The 19,871-nt window shown below is 38.5% G+C and overlaps 1 protein-coding gene across 11 annotated transcripts in view; it reads left to right on the top strand.

Annotated features, from left to right (window-relative positions):
- Positions 1-19,871, top strand: part of COL25A1 (collagen type XXV alpha 1 chain) — a 493,934-nt gene that overhangs the window by 458,027 nt on the left and 16,036 nt on the right. For 7 of the 11 annotated variants that reach the window (XM_011532335.3, XM_011532334.3, XM_011532333.3 and 4 more), the window contains 7 exons: positions 63-113; positions 2,911-2,937; positions 6,454-6,534; positions 10,242-10,277; positions 12,199-12,252; positions 17,444-17,497; positions 19,410-19,436. In XM_011532335.3, coding sequence (XP_011530637.1) covers positions 63-113; positions 2,911-2,937; positions 6,454-6,534; positions 10,242-10,277; positions 12,199-12,252; positions 17,444-17,497; positions 19,410-19,436 — 330 coding nt within the window. The remainder of the gene's footprint in view (positions 1-62; positions 114-2,910; positions 2,938-6,453; positions 6,535-10,241; positions 10,278-12,198; positions 12,253-17,443; positions 17,498-19,409; positions 19,437-19,871) is intronic. The other 4 variants (NM_198721.4, NM_032518.4, NR_045756.3 and 1 more) reach the window with 3 other exon arrangements.

Raw genomic sequence — 19,871 nt, 5'->3', positions numbered from 1 at the left:
CAAGTTGAACTGCCTTATCTAAATGAAGTAACCAAATACATTTTTATTTTTTGGACATACAGATCATAGGCCCACCAGGCCCACCAGGTCCCCATGGCCCACCTGGCCCCATGGTAAGTTTCCCTTCTTTCTGAAATGTAATTGCTTATTTATGAGCATGCTGCTAGAGAGAACATGAACACATCCCTCTAAACAGCCAGCTTGTATTTTGTACTACTCTCTGTGGAATGGATGGAAAATACCAGGTGCTTTGAGATATATTAACTTTACAGTGTTGTCATTCACTCTCCCAAACACATATGTTGGGAAGAGATAGAGTAGTTTTGCGACAGAGGTGAGGAAAGACAGACACATATAGCAAGCTCTACTACAACTTTACAGTGTGAACACTGGCAAATCATTTTATCCGGCCACTCCTCTAACCTGATACCAGCAGAATAAGATTTAGAATTGGCTGGACACAATGGCTCATGCCAACACTTTGGGAGGCCGAGGTGGGCAGATCACTTGAGGTCAGGAGTTACCAGCCTGGGCAACATGGCAAAACTCCATCTCTACTACAAAAATTAACTGGCCATGGTGGCACATGCCTGTAGTCCCAGCTACTCAGGAGGCTGAGGTGGGAGGATTGCCTGAGCCCAGGGAGGCTGAGGTTGCAGTGAGTTGTGATCATGCCCTTGCCCTTTAGCCTGGGAGACAGTGAGACTCTATCTCAAAAATAATAATAATAATAATAATAATAGTAATAATAGCCATTAAAGAATGTTTTCTGACAAAGTTTGAGGTTTGAACTCTTTAATGAAATGTTCAATAGGAACATTTATGTATAAGGTATCAAAATATCACACTATATCCATAAATATATAGTTATTATGTGTCAATTTTAAAAAAGAATATTTGTAAAATAGTATGATAAAAATTGCAGCTTACTTCCTCAGATAACATATATTGTTAGATCTTCCTTCTTACTTTTATGATACTTTGATTGATTCATTGAGCCAGGGCCAGTGTTAACTGCAGGTGTCTTGCAGTGGCCAATGGTGACAGTGGCCCTGCCCTCAAGAAACTGATGTCCAGTGAGGAAGGCAGCCATTAAGCAAGTATAATTCTCTAAATGTCAAACCAAAGACAGTTGTTAAGGTTAGAATGTTGAAGGCAGAATGCTTCAAATGCTTTTGACTGGGGCAGAATAAGAGCAAGTCAGGCAGTCTAGAAGGTCACATGTGTCTCTCAGGTGTCAATAAATCAAAGGACTTCAGTATTACAGAATAAGTAAATTATGGTCACTCTTTCCTCCCATTGCACAAGAAAGAGCATTATTGGAATGATCTAAGCCAAGAGCATAGCCAGTGATTAGCTCCATTTCTATTTTATAACATAAACAATTATTATTGACCTTATTTTCTTTTTCTTCTTCTTTCTTCCTTCTTCCTTCTTCTTTCTTCTTTCTTCTTCTTCCTCTTTTTTTTTTTTTTTTTTTTTTGAGACAGGGTCTCACTCTGTCACCCAGGCTGGAGTACAGTGGCACGATCATGGCTCACTGCAACCTCTACCTCCTAGGCTCAGGTGATCTTCCCACATCAGCCTCCTGAGTAGCTGGGACAACAGGCACATGCCACCAACCACGCCCAGTTAATTTTTGTATTTTTTGAATAGATGAAGTTTCACCACATTGCCCAAGCTGTTCTCAAACTGCTGGGCCCAAGTGATGCACCCGCTTTGGCCTCCCAAAGTGCTAGGATTACAGATGTGAGCCACCTCGCCCAGTGTGACCTTATTTTCTTAAAACTGGATGGTTCATTAAGAATTAAGCAAATGGCATACTTTTGGCTTTTTAAAAATACTCCCTCTACTATAAGATAGAAGGTTAAATTAGAAAATGCTACAGCCTGTTCATATCATAAAATTAATTAGTTTAGAGGAATTTTAAGCCATTATTAAAATGAGGTAAGAATACCTGATAAAGTAACAGCCATTTCCTGAAAATCCTTATCTGAAACTTATTGAAAAGGAAAATATTATTCTAATGTGGACATATGTAACAAATATATAGGCATTGCTTAATAAAAACTTTTTCCTGCAGTTTTATAATTTTACTGATGGATATTTAAATACTCCTTTCTCCAAATAGTTTGTTTAAATCACTTGAAAGGTTTACAGCAATCCACAGTAACCTTAGTTAATTTAAGTTGACTAGTCTGTATATTTAGATTTTCTACAAAGTATGTGTTTTGTAATCCTGATTCATGCATGCATTATGACTTTCTTCCACTGATAAACAATTATTACAAGAGCTTTGAGGAATTTGTTTTTGTAAAAATAAATGCAATCTAAATAATAATGCTTAGCTTTCCTACATAATAATCTTTTATTTAATCTTAAATAAATGATGCTACAAAATCCAAAATTTGGGTGTCATCTCCTCACTTCATGTCTCCTTTAGATTCTTCAACACCTTGGGTCTGGAGGAGTTAATGGAAAACTTCTCCTCTTCCCTGGCACTTAAAGTCTGGGGCTTCTCTTTGGCAAATTTCTCTTTGAAGTCATATTTTTATTTCATTTAAACTCATGAAGCATCTCACATATTCCACTCAGACTTTGTAATGGTAATTTGAGTTCAGAATACCTCTTTTTCCTACTTCTTTCTTCCATGTAACCCTGGCAGATTTCTCCCTCCTCAAAGGTATTAGCAGACAGAATTGCTATTAATGAATTTCCTATTACAGAGCAATCCAAGAGCTGGAAGGAACTTTTGGTGGGTAATAAATAACATCCACTAGCCTGCCTCTACCTATAGCTCAAACAAGAAGATGCTTGTCTCACATCTCTTTTGTTATGTGATATAATATTCACTCTTGCTGGGAAACAGGGAATCAATTCTTAATTAAAAGCTCTGTTTTCCATTTTCAGGGACCTCATGGACTTCCTGGACCAAAGGTAATCCAACAAATCCCTTGATTATTTGATTTCTGCTTCCTTGATAATCATGGAGAAGCATGACAGAAGCATGTCTGTCCTATCTTATTTATTTGTCAAGTAATGTTGATAATCTTTGAGCCTTTAAGCATCCATATGTTTAAATCTCATAACACAAAATGACTTATAACAAATTTAAATGATATCACCTGGAGAAAAATTATTCTTCATTTTGCCTTTTTCCTGGTCACTATGTAACCTCTCAAATTACAAATCATAATGTACTCAAGTCAACCATTTAGAAGTGAATCTGATGAGATTCTCAGACTAGTCTAGATGCTTTTTTTTAATGGTGTCTCTAACTGTATATTTGGATGTTATTAATTGATATTTCTTGCTTGCCATGTAGTCATATCTCATCTAAATGCTTTGCCTCTCCAGCATCTTAATTTTGTACTCGCCCAGAGGTCATTGGTCTAGAAGTGGGTGGGGTATTTCAGGTGTGCTATACTGGGAAGAAGATCACATCACTTACATGCATTCTATACTTTTGGGTTAAGAAGAGAACAAGGGATAAAAGCTCCTCTTTGTCAGAATTAGTGTAGCTTGCATGATGAAGATGGTCTCCACCTGTCCTTTGCCTTTGTCTAGACCGCGAGGACATCCTGGCAGATTAAAATAAGCCCTGAAAGACAAGGTCCCCCTTTCAGGGAGCATACGTGATGAAGACTTATGTTCTAATCTCAATCTTGCCAGGCTGTATCACCTTGAGCAGATTATGGACCCTCTCTGATCCTTTATTTACTCAACTGGGTAACTCACCTTACAGTGCTGTGATAACTTAATGAGGTATGCTTATAAAACACTTAGCAAAATATCTGGTGCAGCTGTTGATAAATGTCAGAAGACAGCTGTTATTGTTGCTATGTGATACTTGGTTCTGAACAGAAAAATTCTATAACTCATCCTCAACCCTGCTTGAAAGAAGGTTCATGAACTCCTGAGAGTGCTTCAGTAGTGAGTTGGTGCAACTAACAGGAAGGGAGGGGCTGGGGAGACACATAAAGGCAGTGTTGGCACTAGGTGTCACAAAGCCCAGAAGCAGGCCACTGTCTCCTCTGGGGAGGCTGGCTCTCTTTGGCCCACCCAGCTCTAGGAGTGGTGGCAGGTATTGGTCTGACTCAGGAAATCTGGGTTTCCTTTTCCCAGTCAGGCAGGTGACACCCAAGAATGTGTTCATGCCTCTTTATTCTTCTTAGACTACCTTACCTTCCAGTAAGGCCAGTGAGTAACTATCTCAGAAGCATGAATTAGACTTTGGGGTAAGAGTACTATCTGGGAGGGGGGGTCAGAAGAGAGAGCCCCATCTATCAGCTTTGTGATCTTAGTAGTCGTTTAATCTCTCTGGGCCTTTTTCCCCATCTAGACTAAATCAATGCTTCCTACTCATGGATTTTTTTTTTTTTTTTTTTTGAGATGGCGTTTCGCTCTTGTTTCCCAGGCTGGAGTGCAATGGTGCAGTCTTGGCTCGCTGCAACCTCCGCCTCCTGGGTTCAAGTGATTCTTCCGCCTCAGCCTCCCAAGTAGCTGGGATTACAGGCACCCACCACCATGCCCGGCTAATTTTTGTATTTTTAGTAGAGACAAGGTTTCACCATGTTGGCCAGGCTGGTCTTGAACTCCTGACCCCAAGTGATCCGCCCGCCTCGGCCTCCCAAAGTGCTGGGATTACAAGCATGAGCCACTGCGCCCGGCCCTACTCTTGGATTTTAAGATGCCACCAAAAACCAGCCTGGTCATAATGACTAAGGATAATGCCACCAAGATATTTAATTTCATAAGTGATTCAGATATGCCATCACCATTGGATTAGGAGATGCCCAAGATGCTTTTGATTTCTAAAATGCAACAATTTATTTTGTCCATACAACTTAATTCTTACTTAAATCATAAGTTTCAGATAATTATAAAGTTGAAAAGACCTCATAGATATCTATGCAAGTTCCCTGATTTCATAGATGATAAACTTCAGGCCCAAACAGTTTAGGTTATTTGCCCCTAATTACACAGCTAGTTCATGACAGATCTGGGACTAGAACTTAGGTCCAGACTTGAAATTTGGTCTTTCTGTCACTGGATTTAACCTCAAGTACCTCAAGACCACGTGCTGAAAGTGCACACACATGCAAAGCCACGGATCTCAAATTAGTCACTGACTACTGAGCCTTGGCCTTAATATGGTGTCCTCAATCAATAGCATTCCCGGGATACTGTCTTACCAACACCAACACATTTGGACTTGCTATAGTGGCTGTACTGCAAACATCCTATCTTCAAAATCCTGAAAACTTTTTATGCCATGCCAGTGTGTTCATCATTTTGCAACCCCCTTTGAAAGTTCAAATATATAGCATGATTCCATGCATGAATCTAGCTCAGTGTTTCCCAGAATTTCCTGATAAGAATCACCTGGGAGACTTATTAAAGATACCCATTTCTGTGTTACCATGGACTGGGTGGGGCCCTGAACTCTTTATGTTTAACAAGCGCTACACTGACTTATATCATCAAGCAAGTTGAGTAAATACTGCCTAGGTTAAAAACCCCTTCTGCCATGTCAGTATAGCCTCTCCCCTTTCCCGCCCCCACCCAGCAAGACTCTATAGGGTATTTGTGTCTGAAATCATCTTTCTTTCACAAGCCCTTCAAGATTTTCTTGGCAAATTAATGTCTACGCTTAAAAGTTGAAAAGTATACAGGTCAGAACTTGATATCTAACATGCCGTTACTGATGGAAAATAGGTATACTGTATTCCTTGGTTTTTAAAAATGGAGTCAAGAATTTATCATTTACCGTGGCTTTTATAATGTCACGCTGAGTTAAATTCATACTTTCTTTATTCTAACACTGGGCAGATGGATAGTTAGTAAAACTACATCTAAGTTCTTTGATCTTCATATTTTCTCCTGGGATTGGTGATTTGTTGATTAGTCCATGTAGGGATCTGACTTGGCAAGGGCAGTGAATGAGGACTTGCTAAATGGCATTACTTCAAACATCAGCTGCTACGTTTTTAGTTCATTCCCTTGGGCAACATGCTTAAAGGCTTAAAATATCTGTCTATAACCCTGTCCTGCATATTCCAGTTTTCCATTCCAGCAGAGTGGGTTTTTTTTTCTACCGAATCTTCTTCAGCATCCTCCACTCGATTGTCTTTGAATTATTTGATCATAAAAATGTGGTATAACATGAATTTCCTTGAGATGGAACTGAAAAATTTAGGAATTCAACCATACATATTTTTATTGTAAGGAGCATACTTTCTTGGGAGTTTTGGTTTCTAGAATATTAATTGTTGATGTCAGTTTAGTAACTATTTTAACTTTAAAAATTAATGTTTCGTGCAAGACAAATCTAGCCTGACTCTGCTGTTTCCTAAAACTGGAATCTGCAACTATTTCAGAGACTGGCTCTCTTCTCTCACAGTTTAAACACCCATAATAGCAACCAAAATTGGCATTTGCTTTTGCATTTAGGGTGAACCAGGGTTAAATGGTGTTAAAGGATTGAAGGGTGAACCAGGTCAAAAGGGTGACAGAGGACCCCTTGGTCTTCCAGTAAGTAAAGAAAACTTTCCATTTTAGTGCAAATCTCAGATTTTTCTTTCTACCCTACATGATAACTCTGGTTTACTCAGCAGCTCGTACTGTTGAGGTTTCTGTAATTAGAAAACATATTATATTAGAGCAGAGCTCAGCCCAGTTTTGTTTTCTCTGATGTCTTCTCTTGTGTCAGAGGAAGACCCACAACAAACAATGCTATAAATGTCCTGTCATTCTTCAATTACATACATGCCAACCTTCCTCTTTTAGGGCTGACAATTCCTCTTCCATTGTCCCCTTCTTTTAAAAGTGTTGTGCTCATTATTTCATAGTTTCTCCCAAACACTTTTTATAATCTAGTGCAGTTTAAAATGCTTCCTCAACTGTTTTTTCTCCTTGGATACCAAAAACTGTAGCCCTCTGTTGGTGGCAGGTATGGAATTGGCCATTGTTGATGGAGTGAGGTCAATGCTGTGGCTCCTTACATTAATCAATCATATCATGTTCTACGTGTTTTATGTTGTTTGTTTTGAAAATTCCCTGTTATGAGGTTCTTGTGGCAATAGTGAGTCGTATAAAAGAAGTATTTTGCAGTTGTTTAGAGATTTTTATTTTTAATGAAGAAGGAATCTCCCCCAGGCTCTTCATTTTCTTTATGTCAGCCTTCTTTCCACAACAACTAAATGGAGATTTTTTTAAATTGTTATTAAATACGAGGCTTTAATTTCAAGCCTTTAATATGCTATCTATTTGGTGAATACAGATACAAATCAACAAAGAACAATATAGATTACATTAGTAAAATATGACATAAAATCAGTAACAGAATATAGTTTATACACAATTTGAAATGTGGGAGGAAAAAAAAGCTGATGACCACTTTTTCATTTTTGCCATGGTTATTATACTTCACGCTAGTTGATAGCAAGTGCCTTACATACATCCACCATATGATGGTCAATAGTTATTTATTTATTGAATGACTGATATAAACCTTGTATTAAAATATAGGTTTATTTTATTTATTTATTTTTGAGACAGAGTCTCTCTCTGTCACCCAGGCTGGAGTGCAGTGGTGCCAACTTGGCTCACCACAACCTCCATCTCCCAGGTTCAAGCAATTCTCGTGCCTCAGCCTCCTGAGTAGCTGGGACTACAGGTGCATGCCACCATGCCCAGCTAAGTTTTCTATTTTTAGTAGAGACAGGGTTTCGCCACGTTGGCCAGGCTGGTCTCAAACTCCTGACCTCAGGTGATCCACCCGCCTCGGCTTCACAAAGTGCTAGGATTAAAGGCATGAGCCACCAGCCCAGCCTAGAATATAGGTTTAATCACACCAGTTAGATCAATGGACCATAGGCATAAAACCTCTATAATATATGTGAGTCATTATTTCAGCATTCTAGGTAGATATAATATTATCAGTGTAAAATTATTACAGTTTCCCCATTTATTTTCTTTTTTCTTTGTTTGAGACAGTGTCTCACTCTGTCACCCAGGCTAGAGTCTAATGATACACTCACAGCTCACTGCAGCTTCAAAGTCCTGGGCTCAAGCGCTTTATTTTTAAAAATATTTTATAGAGATTGGGTCTCGCCATGTTTCCCACGCTGATCTCTAACTCATGGCCTCAAACAATCTTCCCGCCTCGGCCTCTAAAAGCTCTGGGATTATAGCTGTGAGCCACTATGCCTGGCCTACATTTGTTTTCAAATGTTATAATGTAACTGAAGAAGGTATCAAAAGGCAAAAGAAAGTTTGGATTTTCTATTTTATTTAAACTTTCAATCTGATTTATTTAAAGTCTGCCCTTTTTTAAAATTTAGGGCTATTGATAATTTTTATGCAACATTTAGCTAACAGCTGTACCTATGCTAGCCTTAAACAAATGAACAACAATATATATTTTTATTGTAATTATTGCTAACAAAAGACGTATGTAAGGCCGGGCACGGTGGCTCATGCCTGTAATCCCAGCACTTTGGGAGGCCGAGGTGGGCGGATCACCAGGTTAGGAGATCAAGACCATCCTGGCTAACATGGTGAAACCTGTCTCGATTAAAAATACAAAAAATTAGCCAGGCTTGGTGGTGGGTGCCTGTAGTCCCAGCTACTCGGGAGGCTGAGGCAGGAGAATGGCATAAACCCGAGAGGCAGAGGTTGCAGTGAACTGAGATCGCGCCACTGCACTCCAGCCCGGGCAACAGAGCGAGAGTCCGTCTCAAAAAAAAAAAAAAAAAAAAAAAAAAAAGACGTATGTAAGCCGGGCACTGTGGCTCACACCTGTAATCCCAGTACTTTGGGAGATGGAGGCAAGTGATCAGTGGAGATCAGGAGTTCGAGAACAGCCTGGCCAACATGATGAAACCCTGTCTCTACTAAAAACAAAAATTAGCCGGGTGCGATGGCGCATGCCTGTAATCCCAGCTACTCGGGAGGCTGAGGCAGGAGAATTGCTTGAACCTGGGAGGTGGAGGTTGCAGTGAGCCAAGATTGTGCCATTGCACTTCAGCCTGGGCAACAAGGGTGAAACTCCATCTCAAAAAAAAAAAGAATGTATGTATTTTGCAGTTATAGTATGGCTCATGGATTATACAGAAGAAATTTTAAAATAAAAACTCAAAATACTCAAAATGTATGTAGAATAACATCATTGGTAGAGTTTTCATCTGGAATAGATTTTTTTTTCCATTCTGTATTATTAACTGCATCTGAAGCATAAAATTGGGAAATAGTTCTGCAATCTTGACAATAGAATTTTTAGGGCCAGTGCATTTTCTTTCTTAAATACTCCTTGGTCTAACCAATATTTTTAAAGGACTATAAATAAATATTTGGGCTTTGAGACACAAAAACCATATTAAAGAAATAATTGTACTTATTCTTGAAACAAGCATTGAAAATGCCATTGTTTAATCATACGCTATTTATTTGTAGCCTAGAGTTCAAAGTGAAGAAAAGCATGCATTGTCTGAGAACATTCGATTTTTAAAGTTATTTCCCCCATCAGGCTTTGATGCAAAGATTATTTGAAGGAATTGAGAAACAATTTAGTTTGGAAGTTATTTTTTGCTTGGTCGCACACATTGTTTTCTGGCTTTTTCCCTTTCCTAGAAGTCCCTCTAGTGGAAAGTAGTGTGAACAGTAGGAACAACCCAGAAAACAATGAGTAATTATTGTTCATGTAAAATCCACTAAGAGTCATCCTAACATGTGAAAACCCTGTATTTGTTATTCATAAATACTGTTTTAACAAGTATAACCAGAGCTCTTTCTTCTCCTCTGAAATGCTAAATTTGATTGATTATTATAATGAGCGCTTTTTTAGGAAATTACCGTTCTTTTCTCTTCAGAACCTAAAGAAATATATGGTGAATAGCACAGTCTTTAGAAAATGAATTTCATATGGAAATTAGATAGAAGCCTGCAACTGTTATGAGTAACTACTTTGTAGCCCAGTTTATACACTTCATTAGCTTGATTTCTAAATAAGAACTTGTCAAATAGAAATGTCATTAAAATGCCATCATCTGTGGGGTGTTTGTCATGTGTTTTTTTTTTTTAACTAACAATTTGTAGCAATGTGATATTCATCCCAGAACCCTGTAACTGCGTATTATGTTGTTTGAAGTGTTACATTTGTTCATCGGTACCTCATACTAATCTCTGTTCTTGTCATTCGTGTTACACCCACCAACCCTGCTACCAACCAAATCACACAGGGAGCATCTGGCTTAGACGGAAAGCCAGGATCCCGGGTGAGTCAGTCCCTTGTCTTGCTCTGACATGTTTTGTGGCTGTGAATCATGTGCTTCAGCACAGACCCCTTTGCTCCATGTCCTCTCATCAAATGATGAGGGTGTACTTAGAGCTGGAGTAAAAGGGGAAGGTGGACAAAGATGGCGGCAAAAGGGGGAAAGGTGGACAGAGGACGGTTGCAACTCTGTCCGGAGAACAGCTAAACTGCCAGAATGTCTTTGTGAAGCTCGTGTTCAAGTCTGGATAATTTGCTAGGTGGGAAGAATGACCAGACTAATGGGCTTCATTGTCTTAGAATTCCACATGAATTTTTCCAGAACCAATAGACAGACATCCCCTACAATTCCATGAGAGCGGCCCTCTGAAGAGATTAAAATAATGTGAAATTATTGTAACTTGCTTTTCCTTTTAGACTGATGTCCATCAAATGTAACTTCTTCCTTGGCACTAACTTTCAATTTCTGTTCATAGAAATGACTTGTCTGTCTTCTGTCATTTTGTCTTTTTTTCTTTGGTTCTTAACAGCTCCAGCTCTTAAATTTCAGCTACAGATACTCAGTATTTAGAAGTCTTCTGAAGGTGAACTTTGAATTCAGGCAGTAAGAAAAATATCAGTTAAGCTGATGAGAATTCAGCAACATTAGAATGAATTTAAAACTCTGAATTCTTTCTTATCACAAAGCTCTCACAGAATAAACCAGAATAGTAGAACAGAAATGGGAATACTAAAGAAAAATCATGCTGGAATAGTTCCTACATTTGCAAATATTATAATCAATTTTTTATGAATCTAAGCATAGTCATACTGGAAATGAGCAAGTATACTTGAAGTCCTGGCTACAGTTTTAAGAATCTAAAAGAAATTCCCATCTTTTCAATTCTAAAAACTTGTTTCAGGCAATCATTATTTTCACTGGACCTCAGCGTTCTTACATTCATTCAAATATCACCTCTTCTACTGCAGAAATCCTAATCCTGAACTAACCAGGGGGACAAAGGGGAATTATACCTTTAAGTCATCTTGGCTGCCTGGTTTGTGAGTTGTAAGCCTAGTGACTGGCCACTGCCGCAGAATCTGTAAGAATGATTCCTTTCCTGTAAGCCCCTGCTGCCCCCAACAGAGCTGCAGGAAGTTTTTGGATTGAACAGTTACACACTGTTTTCATTTACTTAATAATTTTCTTCTACTTGTGTAACAGTTCAAGCCTCTTAAACAGCTGAAAACAAGAGTTCAGAGCACGCCCGGTTAAGGGTGGCAGTGGGTGTAGAGAAAGGGCTTGAGGAAGAGGTGACAGGAAGGAAAAACAATTACATTTTTCTTCTTAAGATTATGGGGCAAAGTGAAGATGCTTTATTTATTTATTTATTTATTTATTTATTATTTTTTGAGACGGAGTCTCGCTCTGTTGCCCAGGCTGGAGTGCAGTGGCACGATCTTGGCTCACTACAGTCTCAGCCTCCCGAGTAGGGGAATGCAGGCACCCGTCACCATGCCCAGCTAATTTTTGTGTTTTTAATAGAGACGGGGTTTCACCATGTTGGCCAGGCTGGCTGGCTTCAATCTCCTGACCTCAGGTGATCCACCCACCTCAGCCTCCCAAAGTGCTGGGATTACAGGCTTGAGCCACCGCACCCAGCCAGTGATGCTTTATTTAGTCAGAGGAAAAAGATATAATTAAATATGATATGCAGCTTTTCGTGTGTGCCTTTCATTGAAACATGCAGTTATATACTTCATCCTTTTTGCATGAGTTTCTTGAAAACCGCTGGCCTGAAATAATCAAGCATAAAGCACTTTGAAAGGAGATGAGTTGTCTTACTGATATTCTTAGGCACCATTCACCTAGGAAAAATCCAGGATAAATTATAACTGCTATTCTTGCAGCCCTTGTGATATATCTCATATTATCTTTTTTTTAGGGTACAGATGGTCCTATGGGACCCCATGGCCCTGCAGGTCCCAAAGGAGAAAGAGTAAGTTGTTGCTGAGGTTATTAAGCTTGTACTAAAGAAAACACAGAGCATGGCTTTTCCATATTAATTTAACTGTTCATTTTTCAGAAGAAATAAAGGGCTATCTAATATTAAATAAAAAGAGATACCATCCTAAGTTCTATTCAGAGTCCTAATATTGAGAGAAGAAAACCACAGAGCATAAAATAGAACACGGCTGCCTTAATAAAAACAATACATACATTTACATAGCTAAAATAAATAGCTCAGATGATTCTTCCTTCACCCATAAGGAAGATATTTTCATTTGGCCTTTATCCAGAAAGTCGAAGTCAATGGAGCTAAAATTTCCGGAGTATGTATTCTGGTTGATAATCTTTTATATAAAGCTACTGTACTCATTCAGAGCAGGTTATAACTTTTTTCCAAAGGAAATAATGAAACCTAAGTATTCTTTTCTGCACAGTTACAAATGCTCCCCCTTTTTTAAAGCTAAAGGATAGGCTGTTTTTCTTTAACCATAAGGAAATAATTTCAGTGCATTATAAAATGAAAACCTTTCACTAACCTCTCTATTGCTAGGCCATGTTTCCATATCTTTTGGGGGAAAAAAGACATTCAGAATGGAAGATAAATGGTCATCTGTCTGGAACTTTCTTCTCTCTTCTCCCTCTCATGCATGCGCTCTCTCTCTCTCTCTCTCTCTCTCTCTCCCCCTCTCTCTCTTTCTGTTTTTCTCCCACTATTTCTTTTCCTCACCTTGGAAATCTTAGAATTATTTTTGTGTGTCTGAGTGGAATTATGTCATCAATTTCCCTACCATCCAGGAGAGGATATAAAGAAAGTATTTTAATAGTGAAGTCTTCAAAATGTCGGAATGATTCACTGTGCAAGTTTGTGGTCTTTTAAAAACTAGATAGATTTTCATCAGTCTGAGATAATTTGCTTTAAAAAAAGAGGGCCAGTAGTCATTTCTTTAACATACCTTCCAATTCCATAATTCTGTGTTCTGTAGAGTGATCTCATTCATTCAGGAAATATTTACCAAATGCTACTATGTGCAAAGCATGGTATTACTAGTGTGAAATGGAAACTCTCCTCCCACTTAGGTAAAGCCTATTTTGCTAATTTGCTTCAGTACATTGAATAATACCATTATAATTGATTAATTATCTCTTGGTCTTTTATTAATATTTTTATTAATATTTATTAATATATACTGAATGCTGCAAAAAAAACAGCTATTCTTCCTGACCTAGAAGAGTTTACAATCTAATTGCAGAGAAAAAAAAATGCATGAAGGAAATAACCAGAGAATGAGGCCAAAATAATACAAATAGTACAAGCTGTACAGTGATGAAGATTGGCTTTATCCAAGAATGCTTGTAGAAAGAGATGAGTTCTAAGGGAACATGTAATCTGAATGTGCAATTGTCATATTTCTAAGATCAAACCAATGACTTCTGAAGATCATCTTAATTAAAAATATTTAAAAGCTAAAAGCCTCAACGCTGCTGATGCAGATTGGCTTTCAAGCATTGTATGAAGAAACCCAGCCCATGTACTAAAAATGGAGCAGCAAATCTCAGGCAGTGTTTTGGCAGAATGCCCTGGGGCTCAAGAGGGTTTACCGTGTGGTAAATCAGCTGCTACTTCCGATAGCTCCACAATGTCACAAGAGTATCAGGTCTCAGTGCTGGAGCAGAATTAACCAGAAGAGCAAATGAAATTGCTAAGAATTTTGAAGGCATAGTTTCAGTCAAATGGTGTGCAGCGTAAAGTGTTACTCTTGTATTTACTCAGCATGTTAACTATCTTAACTGGATCATATATCAGTACTCTCCAAGTGCCCCTCACTGGAAGTGCTAAACTGGAGTGTGATTCTCAGAGTTAATTGATAGAGGCGCCATCTGGACTCTCCTGAAAAAGTTTCAAATTTTAAAGAAGTCAGAATCGGCAAAGGGAGGTGTTCTAGGATAATGCCTCAGTGTTGATGTGCAAATTAAAGAACCCGAATGAAATTAGAACAACCTAAAAGAAACCACACATTTGACAGCCAATGTTATTCAAACATTTTCAAGTGTATGATTGACAGCATCAATATTCCACTCTGCAAGCATCTGATCCTCCCTACCTTAGCTGATTTCTTCATTTGGCTTTGGAACTCTATAAATGTGTTAAGCTTGAGAGGTTGAAAAATACTTTTGGAATTGCTTAATCCAGGAAAAGGAGTTGTACATTCAAATCCCCGTGTTAATATTTCATTCCTAAAAGTTTTCAAGCTCGAATCATTAGAATGCTTTTTGGCTCTAAGTGACAAATTCAAAATGGCTTACACAATAAAGAAATACATTATTTTATATAAGAAAATATTCAAAGGAGGACTCTAGGTTTTGCTTGGGAGCCCTTTTCCACATGTTGGCATTGTCTTCTGACCACGGACAAGCTGGGCACAGTGGTCCAAGCATCCTCTCTGGTGAGACACTGGCAGAGAACAGAGAGACTACCTCATGTCTCTTCCTGAGCAGAGAGGAACCTTCCCCAGAGCTTCCCGGCTGATGCCCCTGACACCTCATTTGCCAGAACTGGGTCAGCTGTCCATTTCTGAGGCAGTCACTGGCAAGAGAAATGGAATTGTCGTTAATAGCTTAAGTAATTTTTGGGGGTGGGCTGTTCTAGAAGAGTAGTTTCACAGACAGCTGTTTTAGTGACAGCTTTATTCAAATAAGCCATAGTATATTTGTTTTAAGAATAAGACAAAGCCAAGATTCTCAAGTGAGAAGGGAATGGTTATATCAAAATAATCTATGGAGATTTTTCCAATTAGACCCACCCTAATCTGTGGAGTTATTTCAGTTATTTCAAACTAGACATAGTCCAGTTTATGTGGCTCCTCCCTTAAAACTCTCACCTCCCACTACACGTGCGTGTGTGGGCGCACACACACACACACAGATAGATAGATGATAGATAGATAGATAGATAGATAGATAGATAGATAGATAGATAGATACACACTTACACATACACACCTTACTAGTTATTTTGTTTGGTTGTTTTTTTAGAGATAGGGTCTCACCTTGTTCCCCAGGCTGGTCTCAAACTCCTGGCCTCAAATGATCCTCCTGCCTTGAACTCCTAAAGTGCAAGGCATAAGCCACTGCGCCCGTCCTTTGCTCCATTCTTAAAGGGACTGTTTTTGATATTTCACTATTAAGAAATATGCTGTAGATATTTTTTATAGATGTCTCTTAACAAATTAAGGAAATTCCCTTCTTAAAAAAATGTTTAATGTTTCATTTAAAATCTGGCCACTGTGCTGAGTGCAATTGCTTCTGCTTTGGTAATAACCGTAAAGTAATAATGAATAAAAGTTCAAACTTTTATCGTATTTATTTTCAGTAATCTCACCCATACCATATTGCCTCTAGGTGACAGTGTTAATTAGTTCCACTGACCCCTCAAATTTAGATAAAGAAAATGCTATCAGGGACCTGAAATTTGCTCACACGGGAATCTGGAGAAACACAGGCATATCAGGTGGCTCTGCAGGCACTGTTATCAGCTGAACCTGGCGTTTTGCCAAGAAAAAAGATTTGCTAACCTTTAAACTCCTTCAGGGGTATGATAAAAGGAGATAAGATTTTCTGTTTGGCTACTCATATAAAATCACCATTACTCCTGAAGTTTTCCTACTAAATACTGACAAACACTTCAATTTGGAGATGGCAGCAGCAGAAAACACCATTTGAAATACAGAACATCTCTTTCTTTATCATCACAATTATTCTATTCACAAGATTACCTCCAATAACACTTATTCTTTATAAGTGTTCAAGAATATCGTGTAAGATGGGGAAAGCTGTTCTATTTAAATAGGCACTTAGAGAGAAAGTGAGGAAGATAACATATACCTACCTTATCTGGCATTCAGAGGGGTTGAAAGTTTTTAAACCCTCTTTTTCAGGCCAGGCACGGTGGCTCACGCCTGTAATCCCAGCACTTTGGGAGGCTCAGGTGGGTGGATCACCTGAAATCAGGACTTCGAGACCAGCCCGGCCAACATGGTGAAACCCCATCTCTACTAAAAATACAAAAATTGGCCAGGCGTGGCGGGCACCTGTACTCCCAGCTACTCGGGAGGCTGAGGCAGAATTGCTTGAACCTGGGAGGTGGAGGTTGCAGTGAGCCGAGATTGTGCCACTGCACTCTAGCCCGGGCAACAGAGCAAGACTCTGTCTCAAAATAAAAAATAAATAAATCCTCTTTTTCAGAAAGGAAGCAAACTGTGTACATGATTATATAGATTTGCTTTGATTCATTCATTCAACAAACATTTACTGATGTGCCATACACTATTCTAAGCTGTAAGGATGCTATAGGGAACAACAAAGCTAGAGGCCCCAGAACCCTCCTGTGTATATTCTAGTGAGGGTAGCAGAGAATAAGCAGGTCATAAGCTTTATGGGTCTTCTGGTGTCTAAGGGCTGTGAAATAAAATATAGCTGGGGGTAGGAAGTGGGCAATCGAGAAAGGGTTTCCCTGAATAATTGTTTTTTGATAGAAGGAAAGGTATTTCAGGCCACACACTGTAGTTCAAGCCTGTAATCCCAACACTTTGGGAGTCCAAGGTGGGAGGATTGCTTGAGGCCCCAGAGTTCAAGACCAGCCTGGACAACATAGTAATCTCTACAAATAATTTAAAAACTACCTGGGCATAGTGGTGCTTGCCTGTAGTCCCAGCTACTCAGGAGGTCGAGGTGGGAGGATCACTTAGGCCCAGTAGTTTAAGGTTTCAGTGAGCCATGATCATGCCACTGCACTCCAGCCTGGATGAAAGAGGGAGACCCTGTCTCAAAAAAGAAAGACACTTTATTCTTACATTTAAAGGTGCTAACAAAATAATTAGTAACAAATAAATGTTTCACACTAATGCCAAAGAAACCTAAGTATGACATCTGAGATATGCAAATGCTTTTGCACAGCTGGCCAGCAGCAATCTTGTGCTGCCCCTCTTTCAAAGGTGATTTAGTAAAAGATGCTACTGTGGATTACTTTCCAAATATCACTGGCAGTGACTCTGCAAGAGGCTAAATCTTTGAGATTTTCATAGAATGGTCCTTGAAATAGAGGCTTTAGACATAGGGCATGAGAGAAAGTGTGTGAATGTAGGTGGGTGTGTATGATTTGAACTTTCTACTTTTCATTTTAGGGTGAAAAAGGAGCTATGGGAGAGCCTGGACCAAGAGGGCCCTATGGGCTGCCTGTGAGTTCCTGGTCACATGCACCTCCCCACCTTCCGCATGCATAGATGACCAGTCACTGACACGGTTAACCCTTCGCTTGTGGGGCAGACTAATGTTAGAGAAGAAACAACAATCCACTCATTATCTATAAATTCAGTACTTCCATGTCCTTCACAAATAGGTCATATTCAGTCTCTTGCCCTCTCATCATGTACAGACACATATCCAGGCACTTCACGAGATTGACAGGATCAGAGACTGTCTCTAGAATAAAGTATTAACTCGAGAACAGGATCCTAACTGTCAGAAGATGCCCTCCCTACATCATCTGACTGGACACTCATAACTGGCACTTCCTTGGAAAATCACTGGATCCAAAAATGGCTGTGGAAGCTTCACTGAAAACAGCCTTCTTCAGACTTTATCTGTTCCTATAGACTATTTACTAAAATGACTCTTGCTAGTAAAAATTATTCCCCCAATTACATTGATATTTATGACGACTTGATGTTTCTGACTTTCTAAATTACCGTGATGACAAATGATCTGCAGAACATAGAACACTGATAGTGCTCTGTCTTCTGAAAATTCTTCTCTTCTTATTATTATTATCATTTGAGATGGAGTCTTGCTCTTTTGCCTAGGCTGGAGTGCAGTGGCATGATCTTGGCTCACTGCAACCTCCACCTCCTGGGTTCAAGTGATTCTCCTGCCTCAGCCTCCCAAGTAGCTGGGATTACAGATGTGTGCCACCATGCCCAGCTAATTTTTGTATTTTTAGTAGAGATGGGGTTTCACTATGTTGGCCACGCTGGTCTCAAACTCCTGACCTCAAGTGATCCGCCCTTCTCGGCCTCTCAAAGTGCTCGATTTATAGGCGTGAGACACTGCGCCCGGCCTGAAAATTCTTAATTACACAGAATTCAAATTGAGACCTCTGGTTTGCTTTAAAAATATCATCTTGGGAATAATTATAATTGATTCATTAAGATAGGGTAGGACGACAGTAGAAGCGTACGTTGCATTAAGGGTTTTAACCTTTCCATATCTCACACATGCTCTTTATGAATTGAAATAATAAACATAAACCATGATTACCTCAGTGCTAAATCAAAAAAAAGATGCTGATTTTGAAATAGGTTTCAAAATCTAATTGATGAAATCAAAGTAACCTCTCGTGAACTTTGGATGGATCCATAATATGACACAATAGGGTCATCACCATGATAATCTGCACCATGGGAGTGAATTTATCATTCTTGCCTAACAGTCTTACAACTTTTAAAAAAAATTTGGGGATTATTCATTTACAAAGCTTACTTAAAAACAGCTTTTAAGTTGCAGCCTTCACATCCTTCGTACACAGTGTGCACATCCTAGCCAAATTAAAACTGTATTTCTACATTCTTTACTCATTTGTGAGCTAACTACTAAGTTATCAAATTAAAGTAGCATTGATTCACATCCTCTATTAGTGCTGGTATGTTTTTAAATCAGCTAAACAGTATTTTTGCTTTTAACTTAACTCCTGGACTGGTAACTTAGATACCAAGCTTTAAACATCAGTAGAATATTAGTCTATTTAACCCAATATATCATATAAAATTTTCATGACCCTTAACTTCAACACTAACAGTCACTAATCAACTAAACAGTATTTTTTACTTTTAATTTAACTCCTGGACTGATAACTTAGCTACCAAGGCTTAAACATCAGCAAAATATTAATCTATTTAACCCTATATATAATATAAAATTTTCATGACCCTTAACTGCAACACTAACAGTCACTAATCCAAATGAGAATCTTTTTCACATTTCTGAAGTAGTTGTTCTAGTACTAGTGTTGCATGTTCAGACAGCCTTAAATAAAGCAATAATCTATTCACAAAACTTAGAAACACTAATGTAGCTACTATGGTTCTTTGGCAGGGGAAAGATGGAGAGCCTGGTCTTGATGTAAGTAATAAGTACAATAAACATCATCCTATTATAATAGATGTTGATGGTCTCCATCATCGATAACAAAAAGAATACTTCTTTTTTTTCTGTGCATATAGGTATGCATAGAACATATATTGCTGTGCATGTAAACAGCAATATAAAATACACTAGTGTTTGCATGAGATAAAACAGAAAAGCAAAAAAACACAATTATCTTGTATAAAATTAATAACTGGTAGTGGATAGTGGCACTTCAAAATACTTTCCCAAATTGAGGGTACTCTTAACATCAGCATGACCTATTTATGAAAAATATGCATAAAATCAATATACTTCTCACATGCTATCCTTACAGAATGATATATTATGTTTTTTTCTCAAAGCAGTTATGCAATATTTTTTTCCTTTTAACATTTAGTCCCTATATATCTTATGCTAATATGATTCTGT

This window comes from Homo sapiens, chromosome 4 (assembly GCF_000001405.40).
Source record: "Homo sapiens chromosome 4, GRCh38.p14 Primary Assembly".
NCBI classification, from domain to species: domain Eukaryota; kingdom Metazoa; phylum Chordata; class Mammalia; order Primates; family Hominidae; genus Homo; species Homo sapiens.
The sequence above is the reverse complement of the archived record's forward strand: the minus strand, read 5'-3'. Positions and strand labels throughout refer to the sequence as shown.